Below are 26,152 nucleotides of genomic sequence, written 5' to 3'. Positions count from 1 at the left end.
AGGTCTGAGATTATTTAACCCCGGGAATAAATGACCTAAGATAATCTTCTGGATTATTATAAGGTGTGTCTACCTTCTAAATAGTTATGTGGACTCCATACCATGTGCCCGACATAATGTCTATGGCTGGGGATACAGAGATGTAGAAAGCATGTTCTTATATTCCAGGAGCCCATAATTTGGTGGAAGAACCACAACTAATATTACAAAATACCAAGATCTTGGGCAAGACTGTCCTAATGAATAATCTCTCTTTTGTTGATGTATAGGAGTTAATTAATCTGAAATGTTTGGTTAGTGTGGTTTTAACCTGAGGAACTTGCTGAAAAACCAGAAGTGCCAATAATTAAATGCTCCTAACTCTTGGCTTGGCCCTGCTTCAAGAGTGACTGCTCAGTGCACCACAGTCCTCCCCTGAAAATGTCTAGATCTTTTTTAAGTAGTTCCCAAGTCATGCCAGAAACACATTGAAATATTGTAATTAGATTTTTTTCCTCCGTTGCCTCACTGGATAGGTGGCCAGGCACCTTGCTTTTGAGATTATATAGTCTCTCAAAGGAGTTGCTTACTGTGCGATCAAAACAGTTCCAGTTCCTGAGAACGAGGGGCAGAAAAGTGTTTGCTTTCCTGTGGCATGTCTGGAAAATCAGTAGTTGGTTATCTCTTGGCTTATAGAATGATCTTTTGGTCGCTGACTTCTTTGGGCAGTTGAGAATGTAGAAGGTTGGCTTTCTGGGTCTGATTCACTGCAGGCTTCGTTGCCCTGGTCTGTTTAGCAGAGCAGGAAACGTAACTCCTTGCCAAAAAACCATAAAATTGATGTGGTAGATTATGGGTCATTAATGGATAAGGAGATGGAAGACTGCCCACTTGGCTTGGAATGACGGGTGTGTTCCTTCCTCCCGTTAATCTCAGCTGACGTCCTGAATGGCCTTCCCTTGAGCAATCCTTCTTCCCCTGGCCAGTGAGCACCCTCTCATTTGTTTTATGATAGTTTCTTGTGGACACATCTTATCATTTCTTTTCCATTACAAGTAGGCTTAATGTAGTTCTCCTACTCGGAATTTATTTTTTTGTTTGTCTTCCAGATTTCAAAGCCATATGGCTAGAGATGAATATAAACCTTGATTTCAAGATGTTGAAATCTGAGTTATCTTAAATCTTACTGCTGCAGAGACAGGGGTTCTGGCCTTCTGAGCATTCGTTGTCTGAATCTCCAAACGTTACAGTTGCATGGGAAAGCAAGAGCATGGCATGAAACTATTCACTATGAACTGAGCCCTTATGAAATTATCTCTGCACACCAACTTCTCTGTTATATTGTAGAGGAGGAATTGGCAAACTTTTTCTGCACAGGTTTAGATGGTAAATATTTTCGGCTTTGTGAGCCATATGGTCTCTGTCTCAGCTGCTCAACCCTGTTGTGGTCATGCGGAAGCAGCTGTAAGACAATGCATAACCAGATGGGCATGGCTTCATTCCAATAAAACTGTATTTATAAAAACAAGCATCTTCCGGATTTGGCCCTCAAGCCTGTTCTAGAGTCTCTCCTTCCACAATAAACACTGTCTTTGCTGTCGCTTCTCAATTATGGACGTTGACAGAAGAGGTTCTGATACAGTTAGACCAATAATTGAAGAAAGAAATGAACAAGTTGATAAAATTATAGCCTCTTCCAATGAGAAGGATTTAAATATCAAGGATTAAGATAGTCCTTTGGGAAAACACTTTTCTTGTTTTAATTTTTAGTTTTAGTTTTTTAGAAGCGGGGTCTTGCCATATTGCCCGGGCTGGTCTTGAACTCCTGGGCTCAAGCAATTCTCCTTCCTTAGCCTTCCTAATAGCTAGGACTACAGGCATGCATCACTGTGCCCGGCTTTTTCAAATATTTTTGAAGAGCCTTCTTTAGGATCCACTGCAAAAGTCCAATGTGTCCAACGTTGGTGTCAGAGCATGTTAGCAGCAATTTTGTTGAGACAATTAGCACAAAACAAATCATTCTGTGATTCATGCTTGGTTCATTTTTGGAATCAGCATGTAATTGCATTGTAATTTAAATACTAAAAATATCTAGCATAAAATAAGTTTATATTCCAAGATAAAGCCTCAATCAAACAAAATATGTTTTCAAGTAATATTCACTGTAATTTTTTTCCTCCATTTTAAGTAGGGCCTTTTCCAAGCACAAATTATGCTGAGATAATAGGGACCCTAGTACTTTTAGAGCTGATCAAGGGTGGGAAAGAATTGACTCAGAAGGCCACATTTCAGTTCTCTCTGTGTTTGTAGGTCTTACTACATCTTCAGAGAGGGAGTTTGGCCCCTGGGTCTGCTGAAATCTTCATTTGAAATATCCAGGCCAGGAGTGGGTGGAGGATTGGGTTGGGTTGTACAAAAAGGCCGCAGTGTTTTCAACTGCTTGGTTACTAATTATCAACCTTTGAGGCCTGGGACGTTTTCTGAGCCCGCTTTACTTTGTCTGCCCTGCTCAGTTTCCTGACTCTATCAGGCCTGATCCCTACACCTCTCGGTCGTCTTATTGTCATGACTGAGAACCATCCACCTTCTGAGCATCTGCATTTGCATCAGGTGTCAGAGACTCTTGGAAAGCCACATGGGGGCAGAGGTGACCAAACACGAGGCCCAGGAGTGGGACAGACATGGCAGTTAACAGTGATCAGTACAGGGTTTCTCCAAACTGCTTCCTTGCACTGAGGGCCTTTGTGGGTCCCTGACTTCTGGGTCTTAGTAGGCTGACCTCCTAGTTGATGACTTCCTTCTGTGCCTTCTAGGCTCTGGGAAATAGTAGGTCAGTAGGATATTATATGGGGCTTATGACATCAAACTGGTCTTTTTTTTTTTTTTTTTTTTTTGAGACGGAGTCTTGCTCTGTCACTTAGGCTGGAGTGCAGTGGTCCGATCTTGGCTCACTGCAACCTCCGCCTCCCCAGTTCAAGCAATTCTCCTGCCTCAGCCTCCTGAGTAGCTGGGACTACAGGCACACGCCAACACGCCCGGCTAATTTTTGTATTTTTAGTAGAGACGGGGTTTCACCATGTTGGCCAGGCTGGCCTCGATCTCCTGACCTCGTGATCTACCTGCCTCGGCCTCCCAAAGTGCTGGGATTACAGGTGTGCGCCACTGCGCCTGGCCTATCAAACTGGTCTTTATTGGAATCCCAGCTCTACCACTCATTAGCTCAGGCAAGTCACCTAACTCCTGTCTGTCCCCATTTTCTTGCCTGTACAGTGAGGGTCATGCTTGTTCATAGCTCAGGAGCTGCTGTGATGATTTAATGAGATAATGAGAGATGGCAGATGAAGAACTTAGCACAGGCCTGGCACACAGTAGGTGCTCAGTAAATGAAAGCCTGCACTGAGGAAGGTGGGTTGTCTTTTGTTGCCATCTTTGCTCTCTTCCCTGTCTTTGCTACCAAAATCAAATGCAGGCAAAGTCCAAAGAACTCCAGGTCTAATCTCTTGATAATCAGTGGTGAGGCTGGGTCAAGGAGGGGGTTGCTCAGGTAAGAAGGAAAATGCCCCTCTGGGGTTGTGGCCTCGCAGCTCCCTACGTTCCTCTTGTGTCGCCAGCAGCCCCAACAAGCGAGGCCCACCCACGTACAACGAGCACATCACCAAGCGCGTGGCCTCCAGCCCAGCGCCGCCCGAAGGCCCCAGCCACCCGCGAGAGCCAAGCACACCCCACCGCTACCGCGAGGGGCGGACCGAGCTGCGCAGGGACAAGTCTCCTGGCCGCCCCCTGGAGCGAGAGAAGTCCCCCGGCCGGATGCTCAGCACGCGGAGAGAGCGGTCCCCCGGGAGGCTGTTTGAAGACAGCAGCAGGGGCCGGCTGCCTGCGGGAGCCGTGAGGACCCCGCTGTCCCAGGTGAACAAGGTGAGGCAGCATTCCGAGGCCTGTGTGTCTGTTGCGGAGGCCAGGAGTGACTTGGGGAACTGAGGCCCCCACGGGGCCACTGTTGTTTAAAAAAGGAACTCCATGACTGTAATTCAGACTTTGCGAGACACAGGAATTTAGGAAGAAAATGTACCTTAAGAAATAGCTTCCTGGCCGGGCGTGGTGGCTCACGCCTGCAATCCCAGCACTTTGGGAGGCCGAGGCGGGTGGATCACGAGGTCAGGAAATCGAGACCATCCTGGCTAATGTGGTGAAACCCCGTCTCTACGAAAAAAATACAAAAAATTAGCCGGGTGTGGTGGCTGGTGCCTGTAGTCCCAGCTACTTGGGAGGCTGAGGCGGGAGAATGGCGTGAACCCGGAGGGCGGAGCTTGCAGTGAGCCGAGATCGCGCCACTGCACTCCAGCCTGGGTGACAGAGCGAGACTCTGTCTTAAAAAAAAAAAAAAAAAAAAAAAAAAAAAGAGCTTCCTAAGCAAATGGATAACGTGTGTGTAATTGAAAAGGAAAATATGTATGCATGTAACTCAAAATATAATAGCTACCAAAAAATGTTTTCCCTTCTCCAGAGGCAAGTGGTAGCAGTTTCTAGAGATATTCTGTGCGTACCAGCAAATATATATGTGTGCTCTCCTTTTGAAACCCAAATGATAGCATCCTATATGAAATGTTGCATGCTTTTTTCAAACATAGATATAGATTCACACACATACACACATATGCTTTTCTTTTTTTTTTTTTCTTTTGAGAGACAGCGTCTTGCTCTGTTACCCCAGGCTGGAGTGCAGTGGCGTGATTATAGCTCACGGCAGCCTCAAACTCCTGGGCTCAAGTGATCCTCTCACTTCAGCCTCCTGAGTAGCTGGGAATATGGGCTGTAGCTACCATGTCTGGCTAACTTTTTCCCCCACTTTTTGTTTGTTTGTTTGTTTGTTTGTTTTGTTTTGTTTTAGAGACAGGGTCTTACTATGTTGCCCAGGCTGGAGTGCAGTGGTGTGATCATAGCTCACCACGGCCTTGAACTTCTGGGCTCAAGTGATCCTCCAGCCTCAGCCTCCTGAATAGCTGCGACTACAGGCTCAAGCCACCATCTGTCTGATTCCCACCCCCACCCCCGGCCCTTTTTATTTTTTTTAGAGACATAATGTCGCTATGTTGCCCAGGCTGGTCTTGAACTCCTGGGCTCAAGCAATCCTCCCACCTTGGCCTCCCAAAATGCTGGGATTACAGGCGTGAGTCACCACGCTCAGCCCACACATGTGTATATATAAATTGTTTTTCTGGAAGGCTACACAGAAAGTGTTCACAGTGGTTGCCTTCCAGAAGAACTTTGAACTTTTGGAAATGTTTAAATCATGTGCATGAATGATCTGTGTAATTTTAGGTTTGCGATCGAGGAGAGGGATGGGTGTGGAAGACCAGGGGCTCCCCCAGGCAGGGCATGGCTCAAGTGCTTGGTGCCTCCTTAGCAGGCTAAGCAGGTCAAGGAGCCACCTTTCTGCCATTTGGGGCTGATTTTCTGGGTGGCATTCTCCTTCTGATGCCACCTGCAGTTCACCTGCTGGTAAAGAAAGAAGGAAACACCATCCATATGGCTTCTTATCCCTCCCAATTGACCGATGAAACTGTGTATGTGCATGTGTGTGTATCACATGCTTACAGCATCGCAGGTACACACACGGCTTTGGGATTTTCCAGTGAGTTTCACTCCCTGGCTTCCCCAGGCTCTGGAGCGGGTGCTGCCCTGCCAAGCACTCACTGCTAGCTGCTGAAGGGGATAGCCCAGGGGCTGCAGATTCCCATTTGCATCATGCAAGGTGAGCACAGCAACTTCTGGCCTCGGATGGCTAACACTCCTCCTTATTTCACTCCTAGGTCTGGGACCAGTCTTCAGTATAAATCTCAGCCAGAAAAACCAACTCCTCATCTTGATCTGCAGGAAAACACCAAACACACTATGGAACTCTGCTGATGGGGACCCAAGCGCCCACGTGCTCAGCCACCCTCTGGCTCAGCGGGGCCCAGACCCACCTCGGCACGGACACCCCTGTCTCCAGGAGGGGCAGGTGGCTGAGGCTCTTCGGAGCTGTCAGCGCCCGGTGCCTGCCCTGGGCACCTCCCTGCAGTCATCTCTTTGCACTTTGTTACTCTTTCAAAGCATTCACAAACTTTTGTACCTAGCTCTAGCCTGTACCAGTTAGTTCATCAAAGGAAACCAACCGGGATGCTAACTACAACATGGTTAGAATCCTAATTAGCTACTTTAAGATCCTAGGATTGGTTGGTTTTTCTTTTTTTTTTCTCTTTGTTTCTTTCCTTTTTTTTTTTTTTTTTTTAAGACAACAGAATTCTTAATAGATTTGAATAGCGACGTATTTCCTGTTGTAGTCATTTTTAGCTCGACCACATCATCAGGTCTTTGCCACCGAGGCATAGTGTAGAACAGTCCCGGTCAGTTGGCCAACCTCCCGCAGCCAAGTAGGTTCATCCTTGTTCCTGTTCATTCTCATAGATGGCCCTGCTTTCCCCAGGGTGACATCGTAGCCAAATGTTTACTGTTTTCATTGCCTTTTATGGCCTTGACGACTTCCCCTCCCACCAGCTGAGAATGTATGGAGGTCATCGGGGCCTCAGCTCGGAGGCAGTGACTTGGGGCCAAGGGACCTCGAGACGCTTTCCTTCCCCACCCCCCAGCGTCATCTCCCCAGCCTGCTGTTCCCGCTTTCCATATAGCTTTGGCCAGGAAAGCATGCAATAGACTTGCTCGGAGCCCAGCACTCCTGGGTCTCGGGGTCGGGGAGGGGACGGGGGCACCCACTTCCTTGTCTGTGACGGCGTGTTGTTCCCCACTCTGGGATGGGGAAGAGGCCCGTCGGGAGTTCTGCATGGCAGTTCACTGCATGTGCTGCCCCCTTGGGTTGCTCTGCCAATGTATTAATACCATCCCATAGCTCCTGCCAAATCGAGACCCTCTGACGACTTGCCGACTAACTGGCCACCACAAGCTGCAGTCTGTAGCACTGAACAAACAAAAAACAAAACGCTCAAGCCTTACGACCAGAGAAGGATTTCAGCAAACCACCACCTCCCACTCAGTGTCCCCTCCAAACTTCACACTTCCCTGCCTGCAGAGGATGACTCTGTTCACACCCAATCCAGCGCGGTTCTACCCCACGAAACTGTGACTTTCCAAATGAGCCTTTCCCTAGGGCTAGACCTAAGACCAGGAAGTTTGAGAAAGCAGCCGCAGCTCAACTCTTCCAGCTCCGCCAGGGTTGGGAAGTCCTTAGGTGCAGTGCGGCTCCCACTGGGTCTGCGGACCCTCCTATTAGAGTACGAAATTCCTGGCAACTGGTACAGAACCAACCTAGAGGCTTTGCAGTTGGCAAGCTAACTCGCGGCCTTATTTCTGCCTTTAATCTCCCACAAGGCATCTGTTGCTTTGGGTCCTCCACGACTCTTAGGCCCGCCTCAACAACCCAGGCACCTCCTAGGTAGGCTCAAAGGTAGACCCGTTTCCACCGCAGCAGGTGAACATGACCGTGTTTTCAACTGTGTCCACAGTTCAGATCCCTTTCCAGATTGCAACCTGGCCTGCATCCCAGCTCCTTCCTGCTCGTGTCTTAACCTAAGTGCTTTCTTGTTTGAAACGCCTACAAACCTCCATGTGGTAGCTCCTTTGGCAAATGTCCTGCTGTGGCGTTTTATGTGTTGCTTGGAGTCTGTGGGGTCGTACTCCCTCCCCTCCCGTCCCCAGGGCAGATTTGATTGAATGTTTGCTGAAGTTTTGTCTCTTGGTCCACAGTATTTGGAAAGGTCACTGAAAATGGGTCTTTCAGTCTTGGCATTTCATTTAGGATCTCCATGAGAAATGGGCTTCTTGAGCCCTGAAAATGTATATTGTGTGTCTCATCTGTGAACTGCTTTCTGCTATATAGAACTAGCTCAAAAGACTGTACATATTTACAAGAAACTTTATATTCGTAAAAAAAAAAAGAGGAAATTGAATTGGTTTCTACTTTTTTATTGTAAAAGGTGCATTTTTCAACACTTACTTTTGGTTTCAATGGTGGTAGTTGTGGACAGCCATCTTCACTGGAGGGTGGGGAGCTCCGTGTGACCACCAAGATGCCAGCAGGATATACCGTAACACGAAATTGCTGTCAAAAGCTTATTAGCATCAATCAAGATTCTAGGTCTCCAAAAGTACAGGCTTTTTCTTCATTACCTTTTTTATTCAGAACGAGGAAGAGAACACAAGGAATGATTCAAGATCCACCTTGAGAGGAATGAACTTTGTTGTTGAACAATTAGTGAAATAAAGCAATGATCTAAACTAATGTGTGCTTTAGTGCAATGACCTCTTCTTTTTTTGAGAGACTGTGAAAGAAAAACTATCACCAGCGTGTCAGTGTAGGTGTATTATCATGGATGGGACCTTCTTTACGTTGTGGGGAGGGTTTTCCTCTGGAGTGGGATAGAGGAAGCCACGTGGTGGTTAGGGCACACTGCTATCCTGGAATTAAGCGATTGGTGACATTCTCTGCCAAGAGTTTGACTGTGGAAATTTGGTCAATACTTCCAGTGAACCATGAACTGGCTATTAAGGTCATTTTATAGGACTGCAGAGCTGGAAAGCTCTTCAAGCAGTCACACAGGACATTTGGAAAGGATTACTGAAGAATGGATTACCCAGTTCTATAATCAGCTAACCAGGAACAGGTCAGCTCAAGATATCTTTCATCTATTAAAAGGCCAACTACAATTTAATAATGTAGATTTCTTTGTAGAGAAGAATTCAAATCAAAGGTAATTAAAAATGAAAATACTTCCATTTTTAAGTAGAGGAACTTTTACAGTCTGCAAGATAAATTTTTTCTCATTCTTTAGTTTGTTAGTATAAACTTGCTCGATCCAGACAAACGGGTTTTGGCAAATGGTGATGTTTTTGTTTTCATGGTTCCTGTGGGTTGTAGTCTTTGAATTTTTATTTTCTAATGAAGTCGTCTGACCACGGTCAAAATTGGACTCGCAGAGTCGTATCTGTCTTTGTTGCTTGTGATGGGAACCACAGATGCAATTCTGTTCTTTTCGATGTTACTGTTGGGCATGAAAATCTGCCACAAGGTCGTAGTTGTAAGAATGAAAATAATTCAGAAGATGAAGTGGTGAAATGTGAACCTTTCTTTCCTTGTAGCATTAGAAAAACATCTGTTAAATATCAACCAAGCATTTCAGTGATTGTCTAGAGGATTGTGGGAGGTCACAGAAAACTTCCAAAGCTAAGTCAACATAGTTTGGTTTCAAAAGGAAGTGCCAAGGAAGAGTGTTTGAACCCTAAGGAATAGCCCGAAAGAAACAACCAACCAATTCCACAGCCACACCGTAAAATGAGGCCTAACTCTTCATGCTGGCCACTCCTGTTTCATAAGCACAAAATTAGATGTCATGTTTTCTGCGCTTACAACTTAATTGTCACCGGACTAAAGAGGTTGATTGCATAGCAAATTCCATAACCATGGAACTTTAGGATTTGGAGGGTTAGGCCAAAAGAGAATTTGCTTAATAGGACTGTCTTCAGAATTGGACCTCTTGAATGTGATTTGCTATAGAAAGCATTCGTGGGGGCCAGCTCAGATTCCATTCTCAGAATACAGTGGTTACACTGGCTTGTTCCACTGGTTCTAAGCCATGGGGAGATTTTGCTTCCCTCCTCCCAGAGGACATTTGACAATGTCTGGAGACATTTTTGGTTGTCACAACTCGGGAGTACTACTGGTATCCAATGGGTGGAGGTCAGAGATGCTGCTCAACATCCTACAAGGCAAAGGACAGCCCCCCACTGTAAAGCATTATCTGGCCCAAAGCCTCAATAGTGCCAAGGTTGAGAAACCGTGGTCTGTTCTAGTTTTAGTCCCATGTCTTCCTTGGCAATTTAAATACTGCTAATGATGTCTAAAGCATGTAGACCGTGGCTCTAGGCCTACAGTGTTAAATGAGAAAAATAGTTTCTTATTTGCCCACTCAAATGCTGAAGCTGTTTCCTGAAGCTGGGGAGGGTGGGGGTAGTGGAAATAGAGTCCAGTGTTGATCACTTTGTTTTCCCTTGAGTCTGTTAATGATGAACGGAACTCTATTTGCCCTAGAGAGATTGTTAGAGGTAGATGAAAGAACCTTGAAAATGACTTTATTACTCTGCATAAGTCAGGCTGTCTTTCAGAGAGCCACAAAAAAGGAAACAAAAAATCGACCAAGGGTATACACATCTTGGCCTGTTCTCACTGGCCACTGAGTATTTCAGATGGGATGGGTGAATTCTTTTAGGGGGAGGTAGCAGTAAGAGCTGGCATCCTCATCTGGGGAAAGGCTCTTTAGTTGTATGAAAGACAAGACGACAATGTAGTTGTGGGAGCCCACCCTGAGGGCAGAGCCTGGTGGCTCGTTCTAGAGCCAGTGGCTGGGGTCCCAGAGACGGGGCTCCGGCTGCTGCTCCAGCTTTTGGGATCTTCTCCAAATGTCTGACTCACTATAGTGACGATGACTCTTAGGAGGATCCTGTGGATGTTTTTACAATTAATAGGGATGACTGGGGTTTTAGAAGAAATGTATACGTATCTACAACTTCCATGTTTTCTCCTGAAGACAATTATAGTTGGCATACCAGGGCAGAAGGCTCTAGTTTGTTTCTCCACTAATTTGCTGGCCAAGATGAGTGCTGAAGCTTTTATTCCTCAGAAACTTTATGATTTGATGAGTGGTCCATGTCTTGGGTCTTCATCAATTCATTCAAACCATTTGTAAACATTGGTGGATGTCTTAGCCCATTTAGTGCTGCTTTAACAAAATACCTGAGAATGGGTAATTTATAAAGAACAAAAATTCATTCTCTCACAGTTCTGGAGGCTGGGAAGTCCAAGATTAAGGCATGGGCAGGTTTGCTTGTCTAGTGAGGGCTACTCTCTGCTTCCCAGATGGCGCCTTGTGCTTGGGTCCTCTGCAGGGGAGAAAAGCTGTGTGTCCTCACATGGCAGAAGGTGCCAGGGCACATGAGCTGAATGCTGCCTGAAGCCTCTTTGATAAGAACCTCAATTTCATTCATGAGAGGAGGGGCTCTCATGACCTAATCTCTTCTTAAAGGCCCTACCTCTTAATACTATCACATTGGGGACATTTGAATTTTGAAGGTGACACAATAGCAGAGGAGGATCAGATATGGGAAGTAAATGCTTGAAAGTGAAACTGTGCTCATACAAAAGGAACTGAATTAAAATGAAATTTTGTTCTTTCCTAGACTGGCTCGTTCAGTCTCTGACCTCAGCCACAGATCGTATCATGATGTTCCAGGTTTTTTCTCTCAGTCTTTTAGGAGCCTTGGAGATTTCCTAATTGAGCTAGCTGAGGTGCAGGCACAATTTTCTTGTCTGGCCTTTTGACTTCCTGTTTGTGGCCTTAGCCCTGCAATACTGATTTACATTTTAGTAATTTTTTAGGCTTTAATTTGGCTCTATAAATTCATCTGTATATCAGCTTCTAGAGGGAAAAATGTATCTTCATTGAAAAGCAATTTGAGTTAAGCTTTAACTAAGTCCTCACCCATAAAGGAAATGCTAATGAAGAAAGGATTACTTGGTCATAGGACACGATTTGACATATGGCTTTGCCCCTGTGATTTGGGCAAAACAAGGTCTCCTTTTCCACCTTTGTAAAATCACCATTAACCTTTAGCTTCTTGGGTATGGAGGCTTTCACTTGGTGGGCAGGCTTTCCGACTATAATGTGCTTTTTAAAGAAAATGAAATCCTTTGAATACGCACAGAGATGTGTTGTCTCTGACCATGTCCTCTTGTTTTGTGTCTCCTCCATCATCTCAGCAGTGACCTCACCTGGAAGTCCCCTGTGGCCCCAGGGCTTGGAGAACTCATGGGGTGACTGGCTCCAGTAAACCAGTCTTATTTTACATAGCATTTTCAGCTTGGGTTTTCTGCACCAGTGGGTAGAGCTCATTAGCATGCTTTTCTGCTAAATTTAAAATGTTTCCTGATACCTGAGAAGGCTTAAAGGAACACCCATAACCTTCCACCTTTTTGGAGGAGGGACACGGCCTCTTTTAGTGGATGAAAACAGCTCTGACTCCACAACGTCCTGCTCTCTCACACGCCAGGGTCACGATCCCAGGCTGTCCCACCGGGCTTGTTTAGGAGCAAAAGGAAACAAACCCTCTGGCCTGGGGACACCAACAACTGGCCGAAGCCAGGAGCCTCTGCTGTTACCCCTCTTCAGCTTCCCCTTGTGACTTGAGCTGTTCAGAGGGGCTCAGTTTTAGGGGTCCCTTAAGGTTCCAAACTGTGTGAATGGGTGTGAGTCACAGGACTGGTTCTCAGGCCTGGGCAGCTGGAGTAGCCCTGTCCGCTCAGAGCCACAAGAACGGTACTGAAACGCAACTCTCGAAGAGTTCCAGTCTCTTCTCCAAGGGACTGAATAAAATCAGAGCTCCTCCAGGCACATGTCCAATTATTTTTACAAAGTTTTATTGAAACTTGTCCATCAAGGTGACAGTAATTCACTGTTTTGAAAAGTCACAAAAAAGGGTACCCCCAAACTCAGGTATACCAAGTAAATACTGGAACCCAGGGAGCTCACTCCTCCCTCTCCCACCAGGAGCAAAGGGCATAACGGGAGCTTCCGCTGACTCACAGCAACCTGGGCTAGTGGGTACATCTGTGGCGACTCCCGGGAAACTGAGCTGCGTATAAAGAAGTCTGCTTTGGTCCAAAGGACATCTTCCTGACCCAGACTCAGAAGGCTGCTGTCAAGTTCTACATTCCTTTCAGAATAAGCAACAGCAACTGCTGCAGTCTTGCTAACTAGGGGCAGAGGTCCTGAGCAAGGTGCCACGGGACCTTGTAAAATCACGCTGTGTGATTTTATAGGGAAGAGGGCAGAGTGCCTCTCAAGTTTTCACGGTTAACACTGTCACCTATTATGACTGGAATAAAAAGCTGGACAACCTGCCAGCTAACTGGTCAGTCCTGAGGATCATCCAGCTGAATGGAGAAATCCGGCAGCAGGTTGAAAAGTCTGTTCTGAGAACAGATTATTGCTGAGCAGAGTTCATGTGACTTCTAGACGTGGTGACTTAAAAAATGGCCTTAAGGCTGCAGAGCCAGCCACCTCTGCTTACAAAAAGAGTACTTAGTGCACATGACTGTAAGAAACAATTGTAAAACCTCATCTAGAAATCAGAAAGCTTCTAATTTCTATAGAAATGACACCTCCCTGGAGCCGAGAGACAATCTGTTGTTGATTTTGAAGGACAGGCAAGACCAACACTGTATTTAGTTCCATAGCCAGGCCTCAACAGGGACAAGTGGCTGGCCTTAAAAACACACAGATGACTGGAAATGATGTGTGGCCTCAGTCCCTGTTTCCCAGAATTTTACTGGCAAAGGAGTTAGCATTCATTTTTGGCTTAAGAAAAATCGAGAATGTAGGTTTAGAACTGCACCCAGCCTCATGCACCGCGGGGCCAGGGCTGCAGATCCTCTGCCACCCCTCCCTCTTTTCTTGGACTTGATGAGTCCCCGAGGCTCAAAGCCATGGGGGTGCTAGGAGGACTGTCACAGACCGAGGCGCTGCAGGAGCTGCTCTGCCTGGACAAACCTTCAAGCAGGACCAGGGCAGGTATGAAATGTCTTCTGAAGAGTGTGAAATGAGCAATGTACAGTCCATTCCCTCTTGGGGAAAGCATGCACGTGTGGAGCCTGGTGGTGTGCTGTCTCCTGGGCCACCATCCGCCCCCAGCTCTTCATATGGGCTTGTATAACAAGGTGGTGACGTACTTCTTCTTGTACCGGTGGGTTGCGCTGAGCACCATCACTCCATCCTAAGGAACAAGGTGGAAATGATCAAAGGCTGGACTAAGGGGCTCAAGCCTCAGAGGACATGAGAATCATTAAGGGCTTCATAAAACCACAAATTCCCGGGCCAGCTTCAGAACCTGAGCCTGATGGCCTGTGCCAGACCCTGGAAGCTGCCCTTTAAGTCAGTCCCGCCAGGTCATTCCACTGCTGGGGGTCCTCAGAGCACACACTGGGCAACACAGCTCTCATGGGGACAGACATGTCATTACCTTGATAGACAGCGCGTATAGGTGGTTCAGCATGACGTGATTGGGCTCAGGAAGCAAAGCTGGATCACACTGTGAGGGAACAAAGGCAGCGGTGAGCATTTGGGATTTGGAAACCAAGATTCTCCCCTTTACTTCCCAGTGCCAGATATCAAAGGACAGGAGGCAGCGCTCAGGCCGACCTCTCTTCCCAAATCAGGCAGCGCAAGGGCTTGTCCAAGACGACAGGTGAGATGAAGGTCACGCCTTCTGACCTGAAGGGAGCTCCCTGCATGCCTGCTGGAGGCATCGGTGTGTGTCTCTGGCCAGGCATTTACCCCGGCCTCTTTCAAGTGTGGGCCACGGCCCTGTCCTCTTATGGAGGGTGGGGCAGGAAGAAAGCAGCTATTAACAGCACTTTCAGAGAACACAGGAAGAGACCATCTGCACTAAACGCTCCTGAGCAATGGATTCAAAACTTGTATCTGTAAGACTCAATGAACCTGAAGAATGAAACGGATACCTGGGCAAGACACCACTACTCTGGAAAATCTGCCACCGGGCTGGCACTCAGAGCTGCCCGCCGCACCTTCCTATGTTTTAAGAGAAGCCAGAAATCGGGATTTATTTTTTCATTGTATACCCCCAACTGTTATAAATGCAATTCAAATGGAAAAAAGTGTAGAACAACTGCTGTAGGCTTAGGATCCCAGAGGCTGGGCCAATCATTGTGTCAACAAATACTCAGCAAGCTCCCGCTGGGAGGCCATTCAGGGTGGCTGCTGAGAGCACCAACTACCAAGGATCTGGCACCAGCCAAGCCTGATGTGACTGCTGGCTCAGCCAGTTGCTGTGTGAGCCTAAGAGGGGTTTTTAAAAAATTAATCAATTTCAAAGATTGACAGATAAAATTATGTATATTTACCATGTACAATATGTTGTTTTGAAATATGGACACATTGTGGAATGGCTAAATCAAGCTCATCAACACACGCAGAACATGCTTACCATGTTTTTGTGGTGAGAACACTTAAAAGCTACTTTTAGTGCACTGCTGATGGGCATGTAAATTAGTACAACCATTATGGAAAATGGCATGAAGGTTCCTAAAAAGTTATAACTAAAATTACCACATGGTCTAGCAATCCCACTACAGGGTAGATACTCCAAGGAAATGAAATCAGCATGTCGAGATATCTGTACTCCCACGTTCACTGCAGCTCTATTCATAATAGCCAAGACGTGGAATCAACGTAGGTGTCCACAATGGATGAATGGATAAAGAAATGAGGTACTGATACACAATGCAGTGCTGCTGAGCCTTACAAAAGGAATCTTGTCATCTGTGACAGCATGGATAAACCTGGAGGACATTAAGTGAAATGAGCCAGGCACAGAAAGACAAATCCCATGTGATGTCACTTATGTGGAATCCAAGAAAGTCGAACTCACAGAAGTAGAGAGTAGAGTGGTGGTTGCCAGCGGCTAGGAGTGGTGGGGGTAGGGAGATGCTGGTCAAAGAATACAACATTTCAGTTAGACAGGAGGAATACGTTCAAGAGATCCACTGTACAACACGGTGACTATTAGTAACAATGTATTCTTGAAAATCTCTAAGACAGTAGATTTTAAGTGTTCTCCCTACTGCTCTGTGCCTCAGTTTCCCCATCCCTAAAATGGGGGTAATAATTGCACCTACTTCACATGGTTGTTGTGAGGCTTGAATAAGAATACACGAAAAGCACTTAAGATTAGTTTGGGGCAAAATAAATGTTAACCCTTTAGTAGTGACAACTGTAACCACAGTTTACATTAGAGCTTAGTGCTACCTTGGACAGAGGGGTCCTGACATTCTCATATTCCCAGCCCCCTGGGCCACTCTCAGCTTGTCTATTCCCAGCAGCAGTCTCCATCAGAGAAGATGGCTAGTGATGCCTCCCTTTTCTAGAAAAAACAAAACCTGGCCAGGCACGGTGGTTCACGCCTGTAATCCCGGCACTTTGGGAGGCCGAGGCGGGTGGATCACGAGGCTAGGAGATCGAGACCATCTTGGCTAACATGGTGAAACCCCATCTTTACTAAAAATACAAAAAATTTGCCGGGCGTGGTGGCGGGGGCCTGTAGTCCCAGCTACTCGGGAGGCTGAGGCAGGAGAATGGCGTGAACTCGGGAGGCGGAGCTTGCAGTGAGCCAAGATGGCACCACAGCACTCCAGCCTGGGCAACAGAGCAAGACTCCGTCTCAAAAAAAAAAAAAAAAAAAAACAAACCTCACTAGCTTAGGAGGGCACTGAAAGTCATCTTACCCACCAACCTTTGTAAAGTTAGAGCTAAGGGAAGCAGTGTCAACTAAGTGCTTCTAAGGCAGAAGCTACATGTCCTTGAAACTCTTCACCTGTGACCTATTTGAGACTGTTGCCAACTCAGTGCTGGAAAGATGGTGGGCCCTGCCAGCTGAGGCGTGCTGTCCTTACCACTGGCCTCTTCTGGGCCTATACCAGGATGGCTACCCAGCTGCAGGGGCACTCCCAGCACAGGAGGTGACCTGAGAAAGGCAAGCCCTGTTGGGTACCCTGTAGGGTAACAAGCACTGAGACCCTGTCCTGGCAGCCCGGCAGGGACCACTGTAGGGACACCTGCATGTGTACACGTGCATTCCTCGTCTCAGCACACATGCCCTCCACTTCAGGGTGGAGTGTTCAGTAGCAGCATGGTTACTTTAAGCACCTCGTAAACAATGCCTCTTAAGAGGTAGCTTGGACCAAGCTGAATTCCTGGATTCCCAAGAATTACGGCTGTGCCATGCATCCCAGAGCTAGGCGGACTGGGCAGGCAATCCAGGTTAGATGGAACAGAAAACAGAATCACAACAGAACTGGCTGTTCTTCAAGATCCAGGAGGACACACACTTCTTTTCTGCATGTAATAATTTCCCGGAGGAGAAATGTGTGTTACCTAGATATCCCAAATTTTGATCCAGGAGTACTGATATTTCTAAAAGCAATTGAATGATTAAAACTAGATTCTAAAATGTGGGGGCCAGAGCATGTAGCTTACTAAGAAGAGATGGTGATACAGTTTGTCATGAAATGTAAATTGAACAGGGCTTAGACTGAGGCAGGCGTGAAGGACAAGGAAGAGTAGTGCAGAAAGGCTTTGCAAGACGAGGCAGCGGTGTCCACACTGGGAACCTCTTGTTATCAGCCCATCCCCACAGCAGAGGTGAACGGCACAGTTCACACTAGGGGGTGACACTGAGCTTGCTCACCAGCTGCTTTGCAAGAGGTGGACACAGGAAAGAAAGCAACTGAACATGACCCACGGCGGATGGTCCGGGCAGATGCCCACATACTTACGGAAATCCCCGTGTCCTTGTTCAGGATGACCTGGAGGAGATGTGGGGGGAGAATAGGGGGTGCCCGAAAGCGCTCTTCGGGTTTGCAGACGTAGGGCTCCTGATGGTAGGGTCCTGGGGGAGAACTGGACAGCTCTGTTGGGAGATGGTAACAGGACTTTACTTTGAAAATCAGGCATTCTAGGAGCAGCCTTACTTATGTTGTCATCATCTCATTTTCCTTGTCTCTTGTTCCCTCAATGCAGATTTACATTCTCTTGAAGGATGCACTGGTTCCAAGAGTGCAGAATAGAGGAGAGGAGAAAACCCTTTTGGAATCTGGGTGACTAGCATACAACTCAGTAGTCAACTCAGATGCCCTGGTGGAAGACACGGCCCAGCCAGTGAGTCTGCGTCAGATCACAAGGAGGCTATTCTCGATAACTTAATCCCACACGCACGGCAGAATAAGACTTCCTTCTCCCTTCAGGCTGGGCTGGCAAAACCACAAAGAAGCTGGAGGCTAAGTGAGGATTGAGTAGCTAAGTCCAAGTTATGGGCACCCCCGGCCGCAATGCAACAGAAGATGAGGCAGTCTGTTTACACAGAGGCCGTGGAGAAAACAGGCTAAACGAGGCACATTTCAAAATGGGGGGGAAAATTGAAAGCCCAATATCTAAAGGCTCTTTAACTCCATTACACTCAAGTTCCTTCCAAACTCTTGCTTGAGTATCTGGATTATTCAGATACACTGAGAAGCTGCTACAAGAGCAGGATTTCATAATGCTAGAACACTGGATAGTGACGTTTGGCCAGCCAGAAGGTACCAAGCCATCATCCAAAGAACGCGTGGGATGGTTCTGGTCGCCAGATCCTGGGACTGGTCCAGGGAAAATCTGCTATGCCCCAGCTCTGCCAATTCCCTCAATGTCATTTTTCAGGGGACAAGCCCCGTTTATGTGACCCAACCATATCACAGCAAGAAACTGAGAAAAGCATGAAGTGCAGAAAACTGAGCCATAAGGAGTAAATAACATTTTGAGGAAGTAAGTGTCGAAACAGAAGTCTGTAGAGAACGTGGAATTAGCTTCGTATCAGTGAGGGGTCCGTTTCCTTTCCCTAGGTGGAAATTTGACTAAAAAGCTTGTAAGTGGCTTAAAATTACATGTATCAGTAAGTTATATATTTTGGAGGATATTTGGGCACACTTCCTCCATTCCCTGATTCTCAACTATCTGCAAAAAAACTAGATGATATCTCTAAAAGACTAATTACCCAGATAAAAGCACAGATTTCGGATTTCCAAGTCCTGCTCAACAAACTGTCAACCACAGTGAGCCCATTGTGATCATTTTACCACTGTGATTTCTGAACTGGTAACAAGAAATCCTGGTGGCAGAACTTCCAGGCCTAACTAGACAATGATGAAGAACTCTCCTGTCAACGAACGGAATCTGTTTTCTTAGGGCGCCAGATATTCTGCCAGGGCATCTTTCCACTGCCTCCCTCAGAGTCCAGGAATTGTTAAGCCCCCGCCTCCAAGAAGGGGAACACTTTAGATCGCAACCCTCTTCCCCCGAACTGTATGAATCATGTTCCAGGTAGTTTCTTCCTGTGGGGCTTGGAGGGAAAGCAATTTATTGAAACCTCGATGCCTGAAAGGCTCTTACAAGATGGAGAAGTTTTACTGGGTCTGTATTTCTGTACCAAATAGCTTCCCATCAAGGAGAGTTGGGCTGTGCAGGCTGTTTCCCGTGGGGAGCCGCATCCTCCCCAAAGGGATTCTGACAAGGTGCTAATGTACCACATAAGTGACTGCTAAGGTCACTGAGGTGTCCATTTACACCTGTCAGGCTGAAATTCTTCAGGCACCACAAGTGGGATGAGACACAGGCTTCCCCAGTGCTGGGCTGTCACTGACTCAGTGCCACCCTCCAGGGCCTCTTCAGCCCTGCCCTTGGCACGAGATCAAGCTATGGTTCCATTTCTGCTGTCTGCGTTCTGTGGCCAAGCAGACCTACTGAATACCTGAGATGACCAGGGAAATGACTTGTAGCTCCCTTAGGGCTAAATTTCAACAACCTGACAGGAATTAAGTTCTGTGGCCTTTAAGTGGGGGCTATAAATGCCTATCTGACTGGGCAGCTTCAGCTCAAGAGAGGCAAGAGAAACAAGAGTATGTCTAGACTGTACAGCCCCCACCTGCACGCATGTGGTATAAAATAACTGTGTTCATACCAGACACATCGGAGCACTTTTGGGAATCCACCATTAAAGCATCAAATACTTCAAAGTCAGTTTTCTTCACTTGAATGATGTTGTTAACTGTGCCAAGCTGGCTGGTTACTATGGGCTGGGAAGAGACAGATAGGCAGAAATCATAACGTGGAAGGTCTGCGGAGTTATTCTTCAGAGGACTTGGAATTCCTGGCTGGAAGGCCTCATCTCCTGGCTAGCCACCCTGCTCATCTTGGTCAAGTATGCCAACTGTCTGACAGGTAGTGCTGCTACTCAGCTCTGCCACACACGGGGACTTTTACTAGCTGGGCAAAGGGACCTAGCGGCAATCTCTTGGGAAGGTGATTTGTTTGGAATGTGCGGGCACCCAGAGGACCAGAGGTGGGAGGAAGAGTACCTCGGAAGGGTCGTGCGTCCACTGACCATCCACAAAGAACTTGTACTGATGCTCTCCTTCCGGCAGATCCAGGATGGCTACAAAGTTATTGTGGCTGCAAGGAAAAAGGAAGCAGAGGACTTCCGTGGGGTGGGCTGCCCCCCGAGCTTACTTGCCAAACCAGCTACAGAACAAAACGTTTCCACATAAAACCAAGAGTTCAGCTGCAGGAGAACAAACATTTTTAGCCCATTTAGACAATTCAGCATAATGACCTCAATCTGAAAAGGCTATAAGGAAGCAGCAGTGCGACACAGTTTCCTGAAAACTCACCTTACTCAAATACCAGGAAACCACATCCCTAATGTTAAAAGGTCAACAGTCAGGCATTTGTGCGTCTCAAGCTCGCAAGGCTCCTGGATGCCAAGGAGGATGACAACACAAGATAAACAGAAGCTGCCTCGTTTTACCCTTTGTCACTTTGCCTTGGGCAGGAGAAGGGATCAATTGAATAGGAAGCTCAAATGTTCTCTAAAGAAACTTGCCTAATGACTGAAAAACCAAACTCCGGAAGAGCCCCTTCACTGGGTTGTTTTGTCCCCTGGCTTGAACTGACCTGTGACTGCTGTGCTGAGTGGCTCCCTCCTTCTCCAATGGAAACGCTGGAAAGCAGGCAGCCCCTGACAATAGGCCTGACACTTTCTCCCTCATTTTATCAAGAATACTCACTAAAGGTGTTCTCTCACTGACAACTTAAGACAGAAGTCCATGCTGGGGTTCCTGATAAAATGTCTTACTATAATCCTTGCTAATGACACCTACATAGCATGTATTTTTCTTTTCTTTTTGGAGACAAAGTCTTGCTCTGTTGCCCAGGCTGGAGTGCAGTGGTGCAACCACTGCTCACTACAGCACTGACCTCTCAGGCTCAAACAATCCTCCCATCTCAGCCTCCCGAGTAGCTGGGGATACAGGTGTGCACCACCATGTCCAGCTAATTTTTAATTTTTTTGTAGAGATGGGGGTCTCACTATGTTGCCCAGGCTGGTCTTGAACTCCTAGCCTCAAGCAATCCTCCTGCCTCAGCCCCCAAAAGTGCTGAGATCATAGGCATGAGCCCCCATGCCCAGCCAACATGTACTTTTCAAACAAAGTATTACGCAGAGTCAAAGTTAGATGAAACCTCAGAGATGATCTGGTCCAATATTCCCTCTTTACAGAAACGAACGCTGAGGCTCAGGTTAACTAACGTTAGGTGACTGACAGCATGGCCAATGTGGGCTCAAATGTGGGTTTCTAAGATTCCAGCCCAGTGCTCCCTTACTGCATTAAGACAGATTTTTGTGTTTCTGTGGAAAAGTCCTGACCGAACAGATAGCTGAGGATCTGAAGTGAAAGATGTCTGTGACACAGAAATATTCTCTTTCTTCTGTACTCTAAACCTAGAGACCACCAAGGTTTAACATTTGAACCTTAAGACTTATTAAGCAAAATTATTTTTCCACTAGGCATCCATTTTATAGAAACATCCATTTTCTGTTCTCTCTCAGAGATGTTTTAGAAAGAAGAGAATTTATGTTAAGACAAATATGTGAACACTCCCCAGGCAATTACCTTCTGGTGAGGGGAAGTTTACTCCAGTTGTTGAAGGACCCAGATAAGTAAACTTCCTTTCCGCCCCCCGTCCATCGAAACACCGTTGGCCGAGCCTGGGCGGGAGCTTTATCATTCACTTCCAGATCATGCTGCCAGGCCAGGAATTCCTCCTTCTCTGGTGCCTAGAAGCAGAGCAGTTTACTCAGAAAGCCATAAGCGAGCTCCCTACAACAGACAATATTGACAATTCATTCTAAAGACGCAGCTGTTACTATCTTGGTTCATGGTTAGGATCGGAAACTTACTAGTGGTGCCTCAGTTTCCTTGCCTGCAAAATAGAAATATATTTTTTAAGGTTGTGAAGACTGAGACAGTCCATGTAAGTGCTCTATATAGTGTCTGACACAGTGAGTGCTAATTATTAGCTATTGTTGTCATTAAAGAAGTTGACATCAAAATTCTAGAAGAAGCTATGAAACACACTTGGAAGGGGCTACTACGAATCCAAGACTAGCTTAATGTCATGTTCCTCCCTTAATCAAGCAAGATTTGAAGTACAGTCATGTGCATGATGTCTTAGTCAACGACGGACTGTGTATATGGTAGTCCCATAAGATTATACCATATTTTTATTGTTATCTTTTCTATGTTTAGATACATTTAAGTACACAAATCCTTAAATATACTTGTGGAATAAGTGTCTACAGTATTCAGTAGAATAACATGCTGTACAGGTTTATAGTCCATAAGCAACAGGTTACACCATATAGACTAGGTGATACGGTTTGGCTCTGCGTCCCCACCCAAATCTCACCTTGAATTGTAATCCCCATAATCCCCACGTGTCAAGGGCAGGACCAGGTGGAGGTATCGATCATGGGGGCGGTTTCCCCATGCTGTTCTCTGACAGTGAGTGAGTCTCATGAGATCTGATGGTTTTATAAGCATCTGGCATTTCCCCTGCTTGCTCTCATTCTCTTCTGCCGTCCTGTGAAGAGGTGCCTTTTACCATGATTGTAAGTTTCCTAAGGCCTCCCCAGCCATGCGGAACTGAGTCAATTAAACCTCTTTTCTTTATAAATTACCCAGTCTCGGGTATTTCTACATAGTAGCATGAGAACAGACTAGGTTTGTGTAAGTACACTCTATGATGTTCACACAATGATAAAATCACCTAATGATGTATTTCTCAGAATATGTCCCTGTCATTAAGTGATGTATGACTGTACATGAAAATTTAAGAGGAACAATTCTAGAGCTGTCAACTTGAAAATAGGCAAATCCAGATTTTGAGGAAGGGAAAAACTACTCACAAAGTTCTGTCTAGGGACTGGGGAATAAAGCAAGACAAAGACTGAACCCTCATTAGGATAAATGATAACCTCCAGTGTGGTAAGCTCCGTATAACTGAGGTATTCCAGAATAAGAAATAAACTCATCCAAATCTATCTGGATGACATATGTAGTCATGCACCTTTTAGATTTTTTCCCAGTCAGAAGCCAAAGACTTAAAAAGAGCAGAAGGTTCAGGCTGGAAAAGACTCTTCAGGGAGTTAAGCAGGCTTCTAGCACCTTCATCTCAAATACCGACCTCAGCTTATCCAAATGATGCCTGTATTCTTTGAATTCTAACAAGATCTACATATTAAATAACAGACTGGAATCACTTCACACTAAGGATAACTAATTATGACCAAAATAGCACCCTAGTGTAGTTAAAAGAATTCACGACTTTTTTGGTATCTGGGGATTTCAGTAACTTCTAATGAAGTGAGAATGGACGCTGCTTGAAATCATTCCCCATAGATGATGTGTGTGCTCAACATTTCCTGGAGGAGTTTTGGAATAGTAACAGAACAAATACTTCTGAAGAAAGTAGTTTTGATTCCTTTGGTGTCTTAAATAGCCTTCTTGGGACCAGGGACCAAAATTACCTCCTGGGGAAAGGACGTCAAGTCATTAGAGAAACATGATTCTAAAGTTCACTTTGCACACAGCTCTTCAAGAATGCAACAAATTCAGAGAGCAAGTTCAAACCACAGGTTGTAGGGCCACATAAAAGCAGCCTCTTTGTAGTCAGGCTCAAAACTAAGATCCAAAAGAAGGTGTGAGATGTGATCACCTCGCTCAACATGAGGACAAACACAGATGGAATGAGCTGCCAAGCAATTAAATGGATGATGATTAACATGAAATTGGATACTAACAGGGTATGTTGGGCAGAGGGCAGCTTTATCTTTCCTAAACCTACTTTGTTCCTTGAAACAATTAGTTCCTTTTGGACATAACACATAAATACCAGCTGCCAGAATCACTAAGTGTCCTTGGACTGAGCCCTGCGGCTGGAAATATCCACCATATGAAGGTGGTTAACAGGAGTGTGGTTGAAGCAGGAGTTAAGTCACCTGAGTTTTTGAATTTAAACAGGCTGCAGCAGGAAGAAAAATGTTTGCACTGGCCTGCTTAAGCACGATTAAGTCATATTTAAACAACACTAGAGAGAAGTTCAGTAGCTGCTGGCTGCCTCCTTCAGACAGACCCTCACCGCCCACTGACCTCTAGAAGCTGAAAGACTTTTCTATGTACGCTTTAAAAAAAAGCAGGGTGAGGCCGGGAGTGGTGGCTCATGCCTGTAATCGCAGCACTTTGGGCGGCCCAGGCGGGCGGATCACTTGAGGTCAGGAGTTCAAGACCAACCTGGGCAACATGGCGAAACCCCACCTCTACCAAAAATACACAAAATTAGCCAGGCATGGTGGCACACGCCTGTAGTCCCAGCTACTCGGGAGGCTGAGGCAGGATGGTTTGAGTCCGGGAGACGAAGGTTGCAGTGCCCCGAGATTGTGCTACTGCCCTCCAGCCTGGGCAACAGAGTGAGACTCCATCTCAAAGAAGGAAAAAAAAAAAATAAGTAGGGTGGGTTCAGTGGCTCACGCCTGTAATCCCAGCACTTTGGGAGGCCGAGGCAGGCGGATCTCCTGAGGTCAGGAGATGGAGACCATCCTGGCTAACACGGTGAAACCCCGTCTCTACTAAAAATATAAAAAATTAGCCGGGCGTGGTGGCGGGTGCCTGTCGTCCCAGCTACTCGGGAGGCTGAGGCAGGAGAATGGCGTGAACCTAGGAGGCGGAGCTTGCAGTGAGCCGAGATCGCGCCACTGCACTCCAGCCTGGGCGACAGAGCGAGACTCGGTCTCAAAAAAAAAAAAAAGTAGGCTGAACCGGCCAGCACCGTAGCTCACGCCTGCGATCCCAGCACTTTGGGAGGCCAAGGCATAAAGATTGCTTGAACCCGGGAGTTCGAGACCAGCCTGGAGAACATTGTGAGACCACCGTCTTTTTTATTTTTATTTATATTTTTTTTTTGAGACGAAGTCTAGCTCTGTCGCCCAGGCTGGAGTGCAGTGGCGCGACCTCGGCTCACTGCAAGCTGCGCCTCCCGGGTTCACGCCATTCTCCTGCCTCAGCCTCCCGAGTAGCTGGGACCACAGGCGCCCGCCACCACGCCCGGCTAATTAGTGAGACCACCGTCTTTTAAAAAATAAGTAGGGTGAATCAAAAGTGTTGGGCAGAACTAAACACCTCTGGCAACTGCCGTCAGCTGTTCCGCTCTACTTTCAGCTTGTATATGTACCTGGTTTGCCTCCAAAATGGATAAATTCCCAAACTAACTTTTACAAAAGCTCCAGTTTGTGTAAAGGTGAGGGAATTTGTCTCAAAGCAGTGCAATTAATTACACCTAAGAGAAAAGCAGAAGCTGGGGCTCAATTACTGTTAGCTCGACTCTGAATTAATTAAGAATTTGAAACTCTGTCCCAGAGCTGCTTTCTCCTTAATGATGTTAAACCAAGTGAGCACCTCCTCCCTCAGGGTGACTTTCTCATATTGGTAATTAGACACAGGTTCTTGGACCGCTAAGAGAACTCTTACAGGACCATCTGGCTTTTAAGTGCACCGGGTAATGTACCACCTCCCTCTCCGTTCTGGTGTTTTTCGAAAGGATGTGACGGGAATCTAGTGGAGGGTTCCTCTCCTCAACATTAGTCAAGGGGAATCGGGTTCCTCCACACCGCTCGCACCTTGATTTCCTCGGAGTGGAAGAGGTCGGCGTCTTCGGGGCTGTCCATCAGGATCTTGGGCCTGTCCCCGTCCTTGGTGCCCCCCGAGCTGTCCCTCCGGGGCGTCTTATGGCCACCATGCCGCTCCAGCGCGGCGCGCTCACTGCTGGTATTGCCCATGATGGGGGTCTGCGGGGACACAGGGAAGGCGGACGGCGCCTCACTGCAGGAAAGGGACCCTGAGCAAGGGACTCCCGGAACCGCGGGTCCCAAGGAGCCTGCGGAAGGAGTCGGAGCACCAGGACACCACGCCCCTCGGGCCGGGAGCCGGTTCCGGCTGAGTCGGCAGGGTTGCCGAGCTCTCGCAATCGCGCTTTACCTGCCCAGGCAAGCCGCGGCAAGAACGCAAGGGGCGCGAAGATAAACCGACACTTTCCCAACCGCTTCACCACCCCTCAGCGACTTCCGCTTCCGGCGACTCCGTAAGTCGGCCCGGCCTAGGGCGTGGAGGTGGCGGCGGCCAGCTAAACGC

General features: G+C 46.8%; 2 protein-coding genes and 2 long non-coding RNA genes across 21 annotated transcripts in view, besides 8 other annotated features; 3 read left to right on the top strand and 1 right to left on the bottom strand.

Annotated features, from left to right (window-relative positions):
- Nucleotides 1-8,254, top strand: part of CIT (citron rho-interacting serine/threonine kinase) — a 191,530-nt gene extending 183,276 nt beyond the window's left edge. For 9 of the 15 annotated variants that reach the window (XM_011537787.2, NM_007174.3, XM_006719206.3 and 6 more), the window contains 2 exons: nucleotides 3,591-3,894; nucleotides 5,790-8,254. In XM_011537787.2, the coding sequence (XP_011536089.1) occupies nucleotides 3,591-3,894; nucleotides 5,790-5,813 (328 nt within the window). In that variant the 3' untranslated portion in view covers nucleotides 5,814-8,254. The remainder of the gene's footprint in view (nucleotides 1-3,590; nucleotides 3,895-5,789) is intronic. The other 6 variants (XM_011537788.2, XM_047428134.1, XM_017018737.2 and 3 more) reach the window with 1 other exon arrangement.
- Nucleotides 5,425-6,295: an enhancer, noted in NCBI's record as "H3K4me1 hESC enhancer chr12:120125555-120126425 (GRCh37/hg19 assembly coordinates)". NCBI's record gives its function as "activates a minimal SCP1, AML or CMV promoter by ChIP-STARR-seq in primed H9 embryonic stem cells {active_cell/tissue: H9 hESC(primed)}" and the evidence as "EXISTENCE:reporter gene assay evidence [ECO:0000049][PMID:30033119]".
- LOC124903033 (uncharacterized) lies at nucleotides 8,559-19,645 on the top strand. The gene is made up of 2 exons (XR_007063485.1): nucleotides 8,559-8,723; nucleotides 17,619-19,645. It is a non-coding gene; the product is annotated as an uncharacterized LOC124903033 (long non-coding RNA).
- Nucleotides 11,684-11,813: an enhancer, noted in NCBI's record as "active region_7117". NCBI's record gives its function as "activates an Ori minimal core promoter by ATAC-STARR-seq in GM12878 lymphoblastoid cells {active_cell/tissue: GM12878}" and the evidence as "EXISTENCE:reporter gene assay evidence [ECO:0000049][PMID:35858748]".
- Nucleotides 11,984-12,043: an enhancer, noted in NCBI's record as "active region_7116". NCBI's record gives its function as "activates an Ori minimal core promoter by ATAC-STARR-seq in GM12878 lymphoblastoid cells {active_cell/tissue: GM12878}" and the evidence as "EXISTENCE:reporter gene assay evidence [ECO:0000049][PMID:35858748]".
- Nucleotides 12,426-26,093, bottom strand: PRKAB1 (protein kinase AMP-activated non-catalytic subunit beta 1). 2 transcript variants are annotated; one of them, XM_005253909.2, is made up of 8 exons: nucleotides 26,000-26,093; nucleotides 25,642-25,809; nucleotides 21,581-21,744; nucleotides 19,988-20,081; nucleotides 19,591-19,705; nucleotides 17,375-17,508; nucleotides 14,044-14,112; nucleotides 12,426-13,797 (listed from the first exon to the last, which is right to left on the bottom strand). In XM_005253909.2, the coding sequence occupies exons 2-8, from the start codon at nucleotides 25,798-25,800 to the stop codon at nucleotides 13,720-13,722; spliced, it is 813 nt and encodes a 270-aa protein (XP_005253966.1). In that variant the 5' UTR covers nucleotides 25,801-25,809; nucleotides 26,000-26,093; the 3' UTR covers nucleotides 12,426-13,719. The 2 variants fall into 2 exon arrangements, with proteins under 2 accessions (XP_005253966.1, NP_006244.2); NM_006253.5 differs by lacking the exon at nucleotides 26,000-26,093 and having other exon boundaries at nucleotides 25,642-25,912.
- Nucleotides 13,639-14,838: an enhancer, noted in NCBI's record as "BRD4-independent group 4 enhancer chr12:120117012-120118211 (GRCh37/hg19 assembly coordinates)". NCBI's record gives its function as "activates an origin of replication core promoter dependent on BRD2, P300/CBP, MED14 and CDK7 cofactors, and independent of BRD4, by STARR-seq in HCT116 cells {active_cell/tissue: HCT116}" and the evidence as "EXISTENCE:reporter gene assay evidence [ECO:0000049][PMID:35650434]".
- Nucleotides 15,642-16,141: an enhancer, noted in NCBI's record as "H3K4me1 hESC enhancer chr12:120115709-120116208 (GRCh37/hg19 assembly coordinates)". NCBI's record gives its function as "activates a minimal SCP1, AML or CMV promoter by ChIP-STARR-seq in naive H9 embryonic stem cells {active_cell/tissue: H9 hESC(naive)}" and the evidence as "EXISTENCE:reporter gene assay evidence [ECO:0000049][PMID:30033119]".
- Nucleotides 16,142-16,643: an enhancer, noted in NCBI's record as "H3K4me1 hESC enhancer chr12:120115207-120115708 (GRCh37/hg19 assembly coordinates)". NCBI's record gives its function as "activates a minimal SCP1, AML or CMV promoter by ChIP-STARR-seq in naive H9 embryonic stem cells {active_cell/tissue: H9 hESC(naive)}" and the evidence as "EXISTENCE:reporter gene assay evidence [ECO:0000049][PMID:30033119]".
- Nucleotides 24,582-25,217: an enhancer, noted in NCBI's record as "H3K4me1 hESC enhancer chr12:120106633-120107268 (GRCh37/hg19 assembly coordinates)". NCBI's record gives its function as "activates a minimal SCP1, AML or CMV promoter by ChIP-STARR-seq in naive H9 embryonic stem cells {active_cell/tissue: H9 hESC(naive)}" and the evidence as "EXISTENCE:reporter gene assay evidence [ECO:0000049][PMID:30033119]".
- Nucleotides 25,656-26,065: an enhancer, noted in NCBI's record as "active region_7115". NCBI's record gives its function as "activates an Ori minimal core promoter by ATAC-STARR-seq in GM12878 lymphoblastoid cells {active_cell/tissue: GM12878}" and the evidence as "EXISTENCE:reporter gene assay evidence [ECO:0000049][PMID:35858748]".
- PRKAB1-AS1 (PRKAB1, TMEM233 and CCDC60 antisense RNA 1) overlaps nucleotides 25,918-26,152 on the top strand; it is a 280,141-nt gene continuing 279,906 nt past the window's right edge. For all 3 annotated transcript variants that reach the window (NR_188494.1, NR_188492.1, NR_188490.1), the window contains exon 1: nucleotides 25,918-26,102. This is a non-coding gene — a long non-coding RNA (PRKAB1, TMEM233 and CCDC60 antisense RNA 1). The remainder of the gene's footprint in view (nucleotides 26,103-26,152) is intronic.

Source organism: Homo sapiens, chromosome 12 (genome assembly GCF_000001405.40).
Source record: "Homo sapiens chromosome 12, GRCh38.p14 Primary Assembly".
Taxonomy (NCBI): Eukaryota; Metazoa; Chordata; class Mammalia; order Primates; family Hominidae; genus Homo; species Homo sapiens.
Note: the sequence above shows the minus strand (reverse complement) of the source record. Positions and strands in the feature narration are given on the sequence as shown.